This window comes from Homo sapiens, chromosome 13 (genome assembly GCF_000001405.40).
Source record: "Homo sapiens chromosome 13, GRCh38.p14 Primary Assembly".
Lineage (NCBI taxonomy): Eukaryota > Metazoa > Chordata > Mammalia > Primates > Hominidae > Homo > Homo sapiens.
Genome location: NC_000013.11, coordinates 101,955,318 through 101,972,746, shown reverse-complemented (window position 1 = coordinate 101,972,746; position 17,429 = coordinate 101,955,318). Strand labels below are relative to the sequence as shown.

At 38.3% G+C, this 17,429-nt stretch overlaps 1 protein-coding gene and 1 non-coding gene across 22 annotated transcripts in view; both read left to right on the top strand.

The window, feature by feature from the left end:
* The window catches only part of FGF14 (fibroblast growth factor 14), a 691,640-nt gene that overhangs the window by 429,697 nt on the left and 244,514 nt on the right, over window positions 1–17,429 (top strand). The gene's annotated exons all lie outside the window — the stretch shown is intronic.
* MIR2681 (microRNA 2681) lies at window positions 5,001–5,105 on the top strand. The gene has a single exon (NR_039603.1). It is a non-coding gene; the product is annotated as a microRNA 2681 (primary transcript).

The window sequence follows — 17,429 nt, the reverse complement described above, 5'->3', positions numbered from 1 at the left end:
GCTTGAGCTGGGGAGTTCGAGACCTGCCTGGGCAATATAGCGAGACCCCTTTCTCCACAAAAAGGGAGAAAAAAAAAGACAAAATACAACTTTAAAAGAAAGAATTTATCAATAAGATTGAAATGAGTCATGAGGGTGAAAGGAGAGTCTTCTCTTTTTCTGAAAGTGAGGAAAGAGAAACCTGGAGGCAATGATCTCTTAGGCCACTTGCAATTCCAAATATTTTGAAATTAGAGAAAATTTGGAGCAGGGAATATCTGCAGATGAGTCAGTAACAATGTGTTTTTCAGATTCTACCTTCCTTATTCCAAAATATGGCAGCCTCAGGCAAAATTGTCCATGCCATCAGGCGCCAATTCTCACGTAACTACAAAAATGAGACCTTTGTATTTATTTTAATGTTTTCAGTTGGCTGCTTTGAAACACCCTGAGTCAGGTAGTCATTCACTGTGCCTCATGAGAATCTGCTATGGTACCAGCAACCTCGTTCAGCACTGGGCTTGCAGGTGAGACAGGATGGGAATGAGCTACGTGCTGTCCTCACTAAAGCACAGAGTGCCTCGGAAAGCAGGACCACATTTATTTAAAGCATGTAATCTTTCATTCCTCTGCCATTGTACTGAGTCTGATTCATCTGGAAATTGTGGTGGAAACTTAAAATCACATTGGTAGAGGGGCAGAAACATTTGTTTAATTCAATGTATTCCCAGTATATGTTTAAAAGTCATTCCCCCAGTGCTCCTGTCTCCGCCCACTTGTGTTCCTGAGCATTGAGCTCCCATTTGGATCCCTCCATGGCAAGCGCAGTGGTGGAAAACATGGCCCAGGCCCTGCCATGTAGAATACACGTGTGAAATTTCAAACAGTTATGTATTGGCTGCACTGTGTTATTACTAACTTGATTTTATAAGGGACAGCAACTTTATAGTGGAAAATAACTTTCGTGTTTTACTGTCTTAGAGTCAGATACCAACTCTGACACATCCTAGGTGGCCCAAGTGGTTTATTTCTCTGGGTCCTATTTCTCTCATCTGTGAAATGGAGTGATAATAACTACTTCAAATTTCTATGCTGAGGCTGGGTGTGGTGGCTCACGCCTATAATCCCAGTATATTGGGAGGCTGAAAAGGGTGGATCACCTGAACTCAGAAGTTCAAGACCAGCCTAGACGACATGGCAAACCCCTATCTTTACCAAAAGTACAAAAAATTAGCCAGGCATGGTGGTGCTTGCCTATTGTCCCAGCTACTCAGGAAGGTGAGGTGGGAGGACTGCTTGAGCCTGGGAGGCGGAGGTTGCAGTGAGCCAAGAACATGCCACTGCACTACAGCCTGGGTGACAGAGTGAGACCCATTTCAAAAAAAAAAAAAAAGTTATATGCTGAGACCTTGAAGAGATAATTTATGTACCTGGTATGTAATATACATTCAATAAATGAGCTCCCATCCCCACTTTTTCCCTGAGACAACTTGTGTTCTTCAAACTTAGAAGTGTTATGTAGCTTTAAAAACACTGAACAGAATTAAAACTTAATTTTGCATACAGAAATTTCTGTATCCCCTATTAAGTAACTGGAAACATCACTGCAAAAAAACTATAAAATCTATATTTTGTTATTTTCTTATCTATCTAGGATCTATTGGGGTGAAGGGAACTTTCCACCCATCCTCTGAAGGTTCGATCTCTGTAATAAACTTGATAACTTGATAGTAGAGAGATTAACAGAAGAAACAGCATATAAACTATGTGCATATGCATAGGAGTCCCCAAAAATATGAGACTCAGAGAAGGGCCAGATGGTTGACTCTTAAATATCATTTTGAGCTACAGAGAGAAATAGGGGCTTCAAGGCTCCTGGAGGGTGGTGGTGACAGGCTATGGGAGGGTTGGTAGAGTGAATGCACTATGAACAAAAGTGGTCTTATTATGCAGACAAAGTCTCTCAGGCAGCAGAATAGACAAAACAGAAGAATAGATGAAAAGTCTGTCTGCATGTAGTGTTTTGGGTGGGGAGGTCTTTAATATGCTCTCCTGCACCTTCTCTGGTTAATTTAGATTCCAAGGAAGGCGTTTAGAGCAAATGCATTTTTTCTTCTGGTGGAACTTTCCTTACAGTCAGACATGGAGACTCCAAAGAAATCCCCTTCCTGTGCTTTAGGAGAGGCAGAGGGGCAAAAGACACAGGACAGAAGAAAGTCAAAGCAACCTTGATTCTAAGGCTTCTTTAGTTGGAAGTACTCAGCATGTCAAAGAGGCATGCCTTGGGGTATTGTTTTCTGAGCGGAAGCAGATCCCAGGATCTGAATATTTGATTAATCTGCAATCCTGAAAAGTCACTCAGGGGATCCTCTAGACAGAACAAATTACAAGAGAATCTCAAAAATGTTTTTGGTTGAAGGAACCATATGAAAATAATAAAATGTATTGCATATAAGGGCAATTAATTTTAAACCCATACTGGGAATAAATTGAATTGAATAAATGTTTCCTGTTGTACTGAAGATAAAAATAGGCTTTGAGTTCAAAGATCTGCATACAAGGTCTAGATCTCCTGTGTATTGTCTCTGTAAAGAACCGAAAAATATTCAGCCTCTCTGAGCCTCAGTCCCCTCATCTTCAAAATATGACATTTAAGTGGGGTCTCCCAGACTTGATAACCAATGGAGTGAATTAGCAAAAGCTGCCACACTATTATTCATCTTGAATAAAATAAAAGACAATCAAGAGAGATTAAGAGATTGCTATAAGGCAGATGACAATAAGGCCAGAAGAGAAAGCATCTGAAATGTTCTGACCCATAAATTACGAATGTTTGCTACCGGCAGGAATACTTAAAAGAAATGAACACTCAGTTTTTGCCCTTTAAAGGCACTCATTGTCAAGATATGGGGTGTTTTGTAGACTAGAACAATAGAGCAACCTCCACCCAACCTCTCCTTTCACCCCAGTCATCACAACTCAGGGCCTCATCAAATAAAAATTCCTTTTTTCTAATTGGATGCCACTTTTCTACTCTAGGCAGCAACTTGTTCATACAAAATGTAACATAAGCCAAAATTTAAAATTGGTAGAAATATGCAAATTTTGAGTTCAATTTACGGTGAAAAATAGTCTTACAAGCAGTCATGTGGATGTAGTGTGTGCAATGATAATAAGAAATGAGGGAGACCACAAGGCTATTGATTAGGGTTTCACAAATGACTCATTAGAGCCCTATTCCTTCACCAGATTGAAATATAATGTTTAGAAGGCATCAGGAAACTTCAAAGGCAGGAGTATTTTGGCTTTACCAATGACTAACAGCCAGAAACACTAGACTATACCATTTCTTTTTTTTTGTTATTTTTAGTAGAGACGGGGATTCACCGTGTTAGCCAGGATGGTCTCGATCTCCTGACCTTGTGATCCGCCCACCTCGGCCTCCCAAAGTGCTGGGATTACAGGCGTGAGCCACTGCACCCAGCCTAGACTATACCGTTTCTTATCCTTCAATCCCCAGTAACCAGACCAGATGAAGTTGTTTATTTGGTAACTTACCCACCCATGATAAGTGACAACTATGAGCTAAGTGCTGGCACAGGTAGTTATGAAGACCTAGGCAGTCCACCCCTTCACAAAGGTGGATCTAAGCATGACTCCAAGGCATGGAGCCCACTGGCCAGATTTTCCTTACCTCCCCTTCCACTGACCATCCTTGTTTCTTTCAACTAGTGAGTTCTGTGCTAGCTTCAGGCTCTAGGCATGCCCTTCTCTTCTGTCCATACCAAGGAATTGTGGATGGAAAGTGACCTGGTGATAAAAACCCATCTTCCTTAAAGTACCCTCCCTGCTTCCAAACCCCCAGCTTTTTTCAACTCAAACAATGCCCAGATTTAAAAAAAAAAAAAAAAAAGGCTGTTGATGGAATGCATGATTACAGAACAAATGAAAAGTGAGTTAAAAGAGTTGTGGGGGAACACTTAGTCTGGCAGCTGTATGATCTCACACTTTTGTGGCTGTGACTTTTGTAATTGTGGTATTCTTAAGTATAAAATACAGGAAATATTGATATTGAGGTTTTTTTTTTTTTTTTTGGAGACGGAGTCTCGCTCTGTCGCCCAGGCTGGATTGCAGTGGCACGATCTCAGCTCACTGCAAGCTCCGTCTCCCAGGTTCACGCCATTCTCCTGCCTCAGCCTCCCGAGTAGCTGGGACTGCAGGCGCCTGCCACCACGCCTGGCTAATTTTTTGTATTTTTAGTGGAGACGGGGTTTCACCATGTTAGTCAGGATGGTCTCGATCTCCTGACCTCATGATCCGCCTGCCTCGGTCTCCCAAAGTGCTGGGATTACAGGCATGAGCCACCACGCCCAGCCTAAGCTGTATTTTTTTTAATGTGTTCAGTAGCTGTTAAAATAAGATTTTGTACATCCAACAGGTAAAATATTTTGTTACTGTTCAGTATCTTGCAAAAAATATTTTTTAGACTTTTTGTCAGGCTTATTATGACATGCTTAATAAATTAGGCATAGCCATTACATAACAATTTCACCTTTATGCATTTATATGAATTTATCTTCATTTCTTAGACAAGATTTATCTACTTATAACTGCACTTTCACTCATTTGAGTAACAGAGGTTGGTTGTAGAATGTAATCAATTATAGATTCCCTTCCAAGTCATCAGTCATGCTAATAAAATGAAGACAATCATTTTAAGAATTATTTTCAAGTGTTAGCAGAGAGCTACAAATTTACAGCATGACCATTGACCCAGTGACTCATCTCCATTACAGTTATGGGTGAACTTGCAATTTGGAAATAGAAAATGTTACCTCTGTTACCAGCATGTCCAAGCCATCACCCCATTTTATCCTGGGAGTGTTCATGTATCAGATTTTCTTCCTTCTGATTAGGCAGCAGGAATTTATTGGGTGTTTAATGTGTCTAAGCCATGCAATAGGTTTTGTAGAGGATTCAATAGAGGTTAAAAAGACATCAAGAGCAAAGATATGCTCTCTGCCCCCTTTTCACGCATTTGTGTTTTACCACCTCCAGGAGACTGCCCAAAGACTCTTCAGTATCATGGAGTTGGTAAAGCACAGATGCATGAATAATTCAACGTGTAAGCTATCTAAAGAAGCACCTTGATTAGAGGAATCAATGAGAGGAGAACATTTAAAAACAGATGTGCTTACTTATGCCTTCCAGTGTTTGCATTGTTTTTCTTGTATTTTGCTTGTGTTATTCATTAGAAGGAATTAGAGGTTCCTCCCACACAGCATAAATGTTCTCACTGCATGACCTTGAAATAATCAAGCTTTGTTTATACTGCAGAAACTGATATTGGTACACATTTAGCTCAAAACAATTTTAACTTTACCACAATCAGAAGGAAAACATTATGAAAACAGTCAAGTAAACATAGGACAGTGGTTCTCTTAATGTATACAAGGATTATCTATCTGAGATTAGTTTACAAATGACTTTAGACATTCTGACTCAATAGAACACTCCACCCTCAGACATTCTTACTCAACAGAAGAAGTCACTTTGATTCGGTAGGTTTGGGATGAGCCTTGAAAAATCTGAATTTTAAGGTTCATTCTAAGTGACTGAGATGCAGGAAGCCCAAAAGCATCCTCTGGGATGTTGTGCTACAGAACCTAATGAATGTCACAGAGATGCTAGCTTTGTGCTGTTTTTCAAAGAGCTGAACAAAATAGCATTATGTCAGTCCTGGATGTTCTTATTAAAAAACTTGGTTTAGGTAACTGCTGATATCAGTTTAAACTGACAAACCAAATTCTTACACTCGTAGAGTAATATTCTTAGGCATTCCTTTAAGTTTCTTTCATTATATGAGCCGGAGTCCAGCTACAGTTCGCCAAACAATAACGAACTGTCTCACGATCCTTCTGTCTTCTGTATTTCTAGGTCGTCCCTAAGAAAGCATCAACAACTGAGTGGTTTAAACACAATGATTTGGCCAGGCGCGGTGGCTGACGCCTGTAATCCCAGCACTTAGGGAGGCCGAGGTGGGTGGATCATGAGGTCAGGGGTTCGAGACCAGCCTGACCAACATGGTGAAACCCCATCTCTACTAAAAATACAAAAATTAGCTGGGCGTGGTGGTGGGCACCTGTAATCCCAGCTACTCAGGAGGCTGAGGAAGGAGAATTGCTTGAACCTGGGAGGCGGAGGTTGCAGTGAGGCGAGATGGCACCACTGCATTCCAGCCTGGGCGACAGAGCGAGACTCTGTCTCAAAAAAACAAAAACAAAAACAAAAAAAACCACAAGATTTATTCTCTAACAGTTCTGGAATCTGAGTCCAAAATCAAGGTTTCTGCAGAACCATGCTCCCTCCAGAGTCTGTATTTGCCTCTTCCTAGTTTCTGCAAGTGGCCATTGGTCTTTGGCAATCCTTGATATTCTTTGTCTCGTAAATCATCACCCCAATTTCTGCCTTCATCTTCTCATGGTGTTCTTTTTGCATAAGTGTGTTTTCTCTGTGTCTAAATTTCCCATTTTTATAAGAACACCAGTTATATGGCAATAGAGCCCACCCTGATGACCTCATTTCAACCCACTTACCTTTGTGAAGAACCTGTTTTCAAATAAGCTTACAGTCTGAGAAAATGGAGTTTAAAACTTCAACTTATCATTTTTTAGGGAGTGGGCACAATTCAATCCAGAACATTTCCCTTCCCCTTAATTCTGTTGTTGGATATATTTAAGCACTCAGAAAAATTTAGGTACAGGAATAGAAAAGTTGATTGTGGTTCTGGTGACGGTGATGTGTGGATACATCTGGCTGACTTCTTATAAAAGTATAAAATTACCAATTATTTTTTCTTTATGGAGTGACACTTTTCAGTTGTGCCCATGAAAAATGTTTGGACTGGACTGTGTTAAATGAAGGAAACTTGCTGTAACCTCATCCTGGGGTTAAGTCAGTTCCTTAAAATTGATTGCCTTATATTTTCAGTATTCTTTTTTCTCTACTTAAAGTAAATTGACTTCTCCTATCCATCTTTTTTTCTTTAGATTTTTGGTTTTTTCTTTCATGTTACTTACAAAAAAAAAAAAACTAACACAAAATCCTTTTTAGGATCTCACATTCATCCTAACATTAGATCCTGGAAAACAACGTTTTATTCTCTCCTTAAGTATTTGGATTAAAATAAAATTTGCCAAATTGTCAAGACTTAAAGGCAGAGCCTCTGATGATTCTGTCAGTTGTTCTTAATCCCTTAGTTATTAAAATTTTTAAAATAAACTCCAAGTCAGATAAGAATTTTTTTTATATTTGATGTTTGGTCAAATTTGACAACATTTAAATTTTTCATCATTTTATATAGTAAGTGAGCAGACTGTGAAGTTATTCTGCCATGCAGTTCTTCACATAGCATTGACTCATGGAGATCTTTGTGCAGCTTACCACCTGTGAAGGCATGTGTAGCGTTTGCAATAACTTCACTCTGTAGTTAACCACAAGAGGAGGTTTTTTTTTTTTTTTTAGACAGTCTTGCTCTCTCACCCAGGCTGGAGTGCAGTGACTTGATCTCGGCTGACTGCAACCTCTGCCTGCTGGATTCAAGCAATTCTCATGCCTCAGCCCCTCGAGTAGCTGGGATTACGGGTGCCTCCCACCTCGCCCAGCTAATTTTTTTTTCTGTATTTTTAGTAGACAAGGGGGTCTCCCCATGTTGGCCAGGCGGATTTTGAACTCCTGACCTCAAGTGGTTTGCCTGCCTTGCCCTCCCAAAGTGCTGGGATTACAGGCATGACCCACTATGCCTGGCCATAAAAGAGAAGGTTTTGAAGGAGATAATATGCACAAAAGCCAGAAGGAGAACCAGAATGAGAATGTGCTAAATATGAAAACAGAAAGCTAACCATAGCTATTGGGAGTTTCTCTATCAGGGAAAGTGCACAACTATTTGTATCCTGAATAAAAGATAGACATTGGCTTATGAAGCTTGCCATTGAAAAGAAAGAAAAAAAATGAAAGTAGAAAAGGAAAGGGAAATACTATTCTTTAATTGCTAGAAAAGAAGGAGAACTATAGCAGAGAAGATGCCATCTAAAGAGTAATTATTTTTATTATTAACATGGTACTTTTTGGGCCACCAGCACATGGAAGAGTCTCAAGTCTTTCTCTGGGCTCAGTGATACTCTCTGGATGATGGCTTATATCATCATATTTCTTTGTTCATGTTGTGTGATATCACAATGATGAGGCTCTAAAAACGGGTGTCAGGCAATGTCACAAGACAGGATTGAAGTCCTCAGCCCTTGCAAAGCAGGCTGTTCTTCATGGGCTGGATAGACCCAGCTCCCAGAATGCATAGATCAGAAATCCTGTTTGGCAAGTTTTCATTAAACATCATCCTTAGGAACCTGTTTGCATTTCGTATCCAGTTGTGGGGATACACATTTATTAGTATAAATAATATATGTTTGTCAAACAATACATGAAAACTTTTAAATACCCAGGTTAAAAAAAAATCTTTACAACTAAAAAGTCATTGGGATAGGAATAATTTATCCACAGAGGGGAAACCCTTAATTTAATATATTTAATACATTGAACTGAAATGAACTTTCTTGATTATTCAATACTGTATATAAATGTCAAAAGCCAAACATCCAACTTTTACCTTCAGTGATCTTGCTGAGAAAATCGTGGTTTTAAGATGGTCATGTTTCATGATAAATTCCCTTATGACTTTGTGGTTTAAAAATAAATCATGTTTGAAAACCACTTCAGCATTTATTATTATATCTTTTTATTACATGTATGTTGTCTTTCCTCACACAAAGTGTTTCAACTCCTCTTGTCTGAGTACATTACACTGTTTTCCTATAAAATTGAATTTATGACATTCCTGCCTTATACTAAGTACTTAAAAATCCTCATAATCTCAAATTTTCTACAACTGGAAATGTCTCTGTATCTCCCATGACTAACACAGTATATGGAAAGTAGTATTTGTTGATTAAATCTTTGTTGGATAATAATAAAGTAATTCATTGTGAACACAGAATGAGTTCAATGATGCTACTGAAACCAACATGGCTACTAACAAGTTTATCCATACAGAAGGGTGACAGAATATAAATGCATTCATATCATGGATATCCTTGAAAGCCATGGTCAGGAGCTCATGCATTTATGTGTAGAAAATGAAGAGCTATTGCATATTTTGATTTCTACTGTATCTTAGAAAAACAAGGAACTTCCGGCAGAGTGGGGCACAGTTAAGGATGGGAATGAGCATTAGTTTGTGACATAGGGGGAAAAAAGGGTGAATGAGTGCCCCACAAATGTCAGAATTAGAGGGACCATTTGGAGGCATGTAGAAGGTGGAGAATCAAGGAAATGGAGCAACTCAGTATATCTAGTAGAGTCAGAGAATACAGCCAAAACAACTGAAATTTGAACAAAGAAAGAAGAAAGGGTGGGGCACTCCCTAGATAAATAAAATGGGGGAATTAACATTTCTAGAATAGAAGAGTCACAAGTGTGAAAACACGAAGCAATCGTCAGATGTAGGTTGGTTGGAGCAATGGTCCTTAGAAAAGAAACCAACATTTCATTCTCTCCTTAAGTATTTGGATTAAAATAAAATTTGCTGAGTGTCAGCAGTTGAGAGTGAACAGGATTGAATGGCATGAGAATGCCATGGAACTTGATCCTGCCAGTAACGGGAGACTTTCAATGATTTTAAATGGAAGAAGCATGATCATATCCAAAGAAAGAAAGCCAGGAAGGAAGCTATGGCAGTTCTACGGAAGATGAAATATAGTAATAACAGTTAACACTCAATTCCACTTCCCATGTGCAAGGTGCAGGTGCAAGCAGTTTACATTTATTCACTTAATCTTCACGGCAAAGGACAAAGTTAGGGGCTCTTATCACCACTGCTTTTCAGATAGGGAAACGGAGCAGCAAGCTGGATGCAGTACTCTAAATTATTGTGCTATTTAGTCTCCAAACAATACATGTATAAAAATAAACATGTTGCATACAACTGTCATGAAGTTATCACAAATTTTATATTCAAAATATAAAAAATTTAACTGAAGCTATTCATAAAGTGTAGTAGAGTTCTGTATAATTTATTTTACAATTTCAGTGAAAATGAACTTTATTTTATCCTAAATGGCTTTATGACAAATTATCTTATGTCTATTTTTCAATAGTGTTTTTTTTCTGATATTCCCTTGAGTGCCTTTGGTTTTGATCACAACTTTAGTCATTCTATGGGTTATTAGGACCTATTAATTCAGTTTACATTTCCTAATATTATATCAAAATTATAATCTGATTAAGAAAAGAGAGACAGGATACAAAATCAATGTGCAAAAATCATAAGCATTCCTATACACCAACAACAGACAAACAGAGAGTCAAATCATGAATGAACTCCCATTCACAATTGCTACAAAGAGAATCAAATACCTAGGAATACATCTAGCAAGGGAAGTGAAGCACCTCTTCAAGGAGAGCAACAAACCACTGCTCAAGGAAATCAGAGAGGACACAAATGTAAAAACATTTCATGCTCATGGTTAGTAAGAATCAATATCTTGAAAATGGCCATAATGCCCAAAGTAATTTATAGATTCAATGCTATACCCATTAAACTACCATTGACATTCTTCACAGAATTAAAACCATTATTTTAAAATTCATATGGAGCCAAAAAAAAGCCTGTATAAACAAGACAATCCTAAGCAAATAGAACAAAGCTGGAGGCATCACACTACCCAACTTCAAACCATACTATGAGGCTACAGTAACCAAAACAGCATAGTACTGGTACAAAAACCAGATACATAGACTGTATTAGTCCATTCTCACACTGCTATGAAGAAATACTTGAGACTGGATAATTTATAAAGGAAAGAGGTTTAATTGACTCACAGTTTCACAGGACTGGGGAGGCCTCAGGAAACTTATAATGATTCCAGAAGGGGAAGCAAACACATCCTTCTTCACATGGTGGCAGCAAGGAGAAGTGCTGAGCAAAAGGGGAAAAGGCCCTCATAAAACCATTAGATCTCCTGACACCTCATTCACTATCATGAGAACAGCATGGAGGTAACCGTCCCCATGATTCAATTAGCTCCCACCAGGTTGCTCCCATAACATATGGGTATTATGAGAACTACAAGATGAGATTTGGGTGGGGACAGAGCCAAAGCATATCACAGACCAATGGAACAGAATAGAGAACTCAGAAATAAGACCAGACACCTACAACCACCTGATCTTCAACAAGCCTGACAAAAACAAGCAATGGGGAAAGAATTCCCTATCTAATAAATGGTTCTGGGAAAATTGACTAGACTTTTGCAGAAAATTGAAACTGGACCTCTTCCTTACATGTATTACAAAAATTACCTCAAGATGGTTTAAAGACTTAAATGCAAAACCCAAAACTATAAAAACCCTAGAAGAAAATCTAGGCAGTACCATTCAGGACATATGCATGGACAAAGATTTCATGATGAAAATGTTGAAAGCAATGGCAACAAAAGCAAAAAATTGACACATGGGATCTAGTTAAACTTAAGAGCTTCTGCACAGTGAAAGAAACTGTCATCAGAGTGAATATACAACCTACAGAATGGGAGAGAGCTTTTGCAATTTATCCACCTGACAAAAGTCTAATATCCAGAATGTACAAGGAACTTAAACAAATTTACTACAAAAAAATCCCATTAAAAAATGGGCAAAAGATATGAACAGACACTTCTCAAAAGAAGACATTTATCCTGCCAACAAACCTATGAAAAAAAGCTAAACATCAACGATCATTAAAGAAATGCAAATCAAAACCACAATGAGATACCATCTCACTCCAGTCAGAATGACGATTATTAAAAAGTCAAGAAACAGCAGATGCTGACAATGCTGAGGAGAAATAGGAATACTTTTACCCTGTTGGTGGGAATGTACATTAGTTCAACCATTGTAGAAGACAGTGTGGTGATTCCCCAAAGACCTAGAACCAGAAATACCGTTTGACCTGGCAATCCCATTACTGGATATACACCCGAAGGACTATAAATCATTCTATTGTAAAGATATATATACGTGTATGTTCATTGCAGCCCTATTCACAATAGCAAAGGCATGGAATCAACCTAAATGCCCATCAGTGATGGACTAGATAAAGAAAATGTGGTACATATACACTATGGAAAACTTTGCAGCCATAAAAAGGAATGGGATCATGTCCTTTGCAGGGACATGGATGGAGCTAGAAGCCATTATCCTCAGCAGAAAACCAAACACCACATGTTTTCACTTATAAGTGGGTGCTGAACAATGAGAACATGTGGACACATGGAGAGGAACAGATCACACATTGGGGCCTGTCAGGTGGAGTATGCTGGGGGAGGGAGAGCATCAGGAAAAATAGCTAATGCATGCTGGGCTTAATACCTAGGTGATGGATTATAGGTGCAGCAAACCACCATAGGACATGTTTACCTATGTAACAAACATGCGCACACTGCCCATATGTCCCAGAACTTAATTAAGAAAGGAGACAAAGTAAACATTTATTTAAAGAAAATTCTCAAGGCCAGCTTATATGCTTAATACCACTTTTAGTAATTGCTGAATTGAAAATAATAAAAATATTCAGGTTGAGGCAAGTGAAACTGATTTGTGTTAGTCAACAAACAGTTTGATAATTTGACATTTTATTCAATAAATATGTTCGTTACTATAACATAGATGAAAAGCTTTAAATGGTTAAGCTGAGATTATTAAATTAATTTACAGACACCTCTCAAAGTTTTCAACTTTAACTGAGCAGTTTTAGACTTCATCTCCAGATTCAATTTAGCAAATATTTATTAAAATTGTGTTATATACCGAGCAGAGACCAGGCAATCACCACAGAAAGGAGAGGATGGATGAAGCATGACTGGAATTCTCATGGAGCTTCTATAGCGAGTGAAGAAGTAAAGAAGAATACAAATCACTATAGTGCAAGATCAAATAAAGTAAATGTCAAATAGAGTATGAACAAAACACTCAGAAGAAAGTAATAGGCTTTGACCAGAGAAATCAGAGAAATTTGCTTGTGGAATTTAACCTGAGCTTTGAAAGGTGAACAGGGTTTCAGTAGCTGGGAGTCAGAGGAAAGAAACTCCAAGTTGGAATAACAGCTCAGCACGTGCAGCATTGTGAAAATACAGTGCATGTTGAGGAAATACAAGTAGTTTAATGAAACAAATATGCGACTGAAAGTTGTGAAACAAAGTCAGGGAGGGCATTCAAGATGACACTGAATTGTTAATGCTTTTCACCCAAAGACCACCAGTAATATACCTGTAGTTAAACAAATTTTGTTACTACACATTGCAGCGAGAGAGAACACACACCATGGGCAACTGTGGGGTATCTCGGTAGGAGGGTGCTAGAAGGAAACTATTAGAGCAGAGGTTCCAACCCTGATGGCCTGTTAGTAACCAAGCTGCACAGCAGGAAGTGAGTGGTGGCTGAGGAGCATGACCGCCGGAGCTCCACCTCCTGTCAGATCAGGGTGGCACAAGATTCTCATAGAACACTAACCCTATTGTGAACTGTGCATGCGAGGGATCTAGGTTGTGCACTCCTTATGAGAATCTAGATAATGCCTGATGATCTGCAGTGAAACAGTCATCCTGAAGTCATCTGCTGCATTAGAAGATTGAAGGTTTGCTTGGGTAATTTCAGGGTGGTCTAAGGGGTGGGGAGGTGTGTTCTGAATGCTGTCAGAGAGTAATGGCAAATCTCTGATTGTGTATCTCAATAAGTCTTATCCATAGGGAGGAGTGACTACATTGAGGATAGAAATGCAATTGATAAAGCCATAGCAATTGCTTATGTTATGCCAAGAGGGGATGTTTGGTATTTTGGTGGAGGCGCAGTGACCTTGATTTTGTCATTGCTTAGGCAACGTTATAAAATACCCTTGCTTTGTCTCACTTTGTTATGGTCTCAGAGTGACTTTTATCTGAGGTGCATATGTTCTGAGATTGTTTATACACAAGAGAATATCTGAGTGTGAGGCTGGCTTCTAAATGACAGGGATGCTCTTTTTTTCTCTGTCAAGACTTATAGTAGTATTCTATATGTAGTCAGAGTCGAAGACTTGTGAGATAAGAATTAATACCTTCTGACTTTATTGTGCTTTGAAGAGCAGCAAGTGGAGTGTAGAGAGAACACAAGCCAGGAGAGCCATTGCAACAGTTCAGAAAAGCAAGGAGGCCTAAACCAGACTGAATGGAGAGCAGGACCACTGGGGTCCAGGAGGATGTGCAAGGGCTTTGGACTCATAAGTGGGACAGGAGGAAGTAAAGGAAAGTAAAGGAGTGATGAAATGAGTTCACAATTTTGCCAGGGGCTGGCACTCCTACATGCTTAACATCTTCAGATTCCCTGCCAACACTGGAAGCTGCCAATCATGGGTCACTTTTGGTTAACTTCTGTCCAAGGTCATTCAGAGCATTGCTTCTGGAGGAATAGAAACACCTTCCTTTATAAATTGCCAACCTCACAGACACAGAACATGCTTTAGAGAAGCTCTCTGAGTTTAGGAAAGCTCTCAAGTTCTCTGAAAGCTGAGTAGGAGGAAGGCATCACTTCCAACAATTAGGTATTCAGGTGAAAGTTGTTTACAGATGTTAACACGTTTGCCATAGACAATGTGTTTTATTTACTGTAATTTATAGTACATTTTATTATATTTTAAATCGTTATTTTCCTATACTATTTACTATATTTATTTACTCTATTTTAGTTCATTATTTTGGACCCATTTGGCCCTTTCATTCCATGTTCTTCACCAATTTTTTTTTCTTGTCATAGTCAGATGGATAAGAAGTAACTGCCTTTGAACACACATGTGATCATATATAACGTGGATTAAGAGAGTGACAATGGTTTCCTTAAGTCATGCCACACATCCTCTAGAGTTGAGTCTCATATGTGTTTGCAAATAGTAGGCCTGTGTAAATGGATAAAGATTGCCTATGGGAAATGATTTTCTGGTTATGAGAAATTAGGGTGGATGGAAAAGATGAGCTCTAATCATAATAGGCCAAAATGGATGACTCTGAGTTAGATCTGCTCAAATACTAATATGCATATGAGTCACTTGGAAAGCTTGTTAAAATGGGGAGTCTGATTTGGTGGGTTGAACAAGATCGAGAATTTGTGTTTCTAACAAGTTACTGACCAATGGCAATGCTGTTGGTCTGGGGACCATACTTTGAATAGCAAAGCTGTTTGTCTTTGCATTTACTTAGTTTGCTGACTATTCAATACTCTGTGAGCTCTGGTTCAGTTTCTCCTAAGGTTCTGTATTTTCTTCGTCTTATTCCTCTTTGTCTAACATATATAGTGTCTCTTTATTCCTTTCTTCTACTCTCACCTGCTTTTCTTGCCCCAAAAGAAAAGCCTTAGTAAATTTACTTACTTTTTTACTTTACACTGAAAGAAACACACCGAAGTTTGGAAATTAGACAAGAAAAGTGCAGCATTCAAGGGATGTTGATTCATATATCTGTATTGTATATTCTGTTTTGTATTATACTTCACATATCTCAATGCAAATTTGAGTTGCTGGAGTGAAACACTGGGAAGATAGGCCCTCCTTGAAGTTCAGTATCTTTATATCCTGGAAAGCATCTGCATTCATGAAGCAGATTCTTGATTAAATTTCTATACATTATCTTGAATATATTGATTATATTTAGCTATGGTCTCATTATTCTCTCAATTAAATGTGTCATGGTAGTAAGAGTTTAATTTTCTACCTCTAAAATGAAATAATGAAATCTATACATAAGAAAGAGAGAGAGAAAAAAACAAAAACAAAGGAAGGACGTCTCTTTTTCTTCTTTCCTGGGAGCATCTCAGCCACATTTCTTTATAGTCTTGAAGATTTTCAGTAAATACTTTTACTTTTTCTTTTTTTTTTTTTTTGGTAAAGTGAATAATATCTGAAGATAGGGAGCTTTGCATTTAAAGACCACCAACTGTGACTCCTTTTGCAAATCAAACCTTAGTTATAAAAGTTATTCTATATGATATGTTACTACTTAAATAGCTTGTGGATATTATATTTTTACCTCATTAACCCCAGCAGATATTTAGGTCCATCGTTATTGTTGTTTGTATATTGTTGAGAACCGAGGCTCAGAACTAAGACAAATTTTTCCAGAGAATCTAGCCAGAGAGTGAGGAAGCCAGCAATAAACTACCAGTCTCCCGATACATTCCAGGCCTTGTATATTTCACCTCATGGAATGATCATTTCCTAATATAGATGTTGGGCAAATTCAGGTATTTTTCTATTTGACTTAAAAATTATTCACCACTATAATACGATAGTGTAATCTAAAATTGGAGAGGAGTTACATGATAATACGCAATGTCAAGTGTGTTTTATGTAAAGAGAGATGTTATCCGTCTATCTGTATCTGTATCTATCTATCTAAAGTTTAATATTCATATTAACAGTGCAATTTATCACATGAATATGTGAACCAATGGGCCATTTTCTTTACTTGGGTAGAGATTTTTCATGCAGCATGCCTCATGCCTGGGAAACTAGTAGAATTGACTTGCTTCCTCAGAGAGTTGCAGAGGTTGCAGGAAATATTTTGAGATGATGAAGTGACAATATTTTTATAGACCACTTTGTTTCTTCCTTATATTTCTCTCTGAGTCTTCACCAGTGAACCAACTTGCCAAATACTTAAATGAAAAGTGAAAGTGAAAACGTGGGACTTGTTTCTTGCCCCTCTGCTTTGTCTAGGTAACACGAGGCAGCAATTGTCTTTGGTTTATGTACCCATCTGAGATTTATCTTTTAAAAAATTCGGTTAATGAAGAAAAGGTAACTTGGATGGTAAATAGCTCTCTTGGATTATCCATGGAACTGCTTTCTTCATCAAGTGTCTCTTCCCTTTTATGTTGGAGCAAAGGTCTTGATTCCAGATCAATCTGTTAAGAAACATAAATGTTACCATAGTAATTTTACCATAGGGAATACCATTGAAATCAGCTGTCCACATAGTTTCTGGTCAGTATTGGACACTCATGTCTCACCCTTCCCCTCAGGAGACTTGCATGTGAAGGTGGCGTGTCACGCACATCCAATGCTGTCATCTATAACTTTGACACCTACCTACCTATGCATTTTATAATATTTTTAAACCATTTTCCCATTTTATTGACATGAAGCAGTAGAATAAATCATGTGGAAAGCTAATTTTTATGTCTTTGTGAGCTTGTTTCCTTGCATCACAAATTGTGTCCCTTTGTACTTTCACAAGAAACCAGCTTTTCCATGGCTGACACAAGCCACAAATCATTGCCCCACTCATGAAGGCAGGAGGCCTGCTGGTTGTGAGAATCATTGAAGCCACATT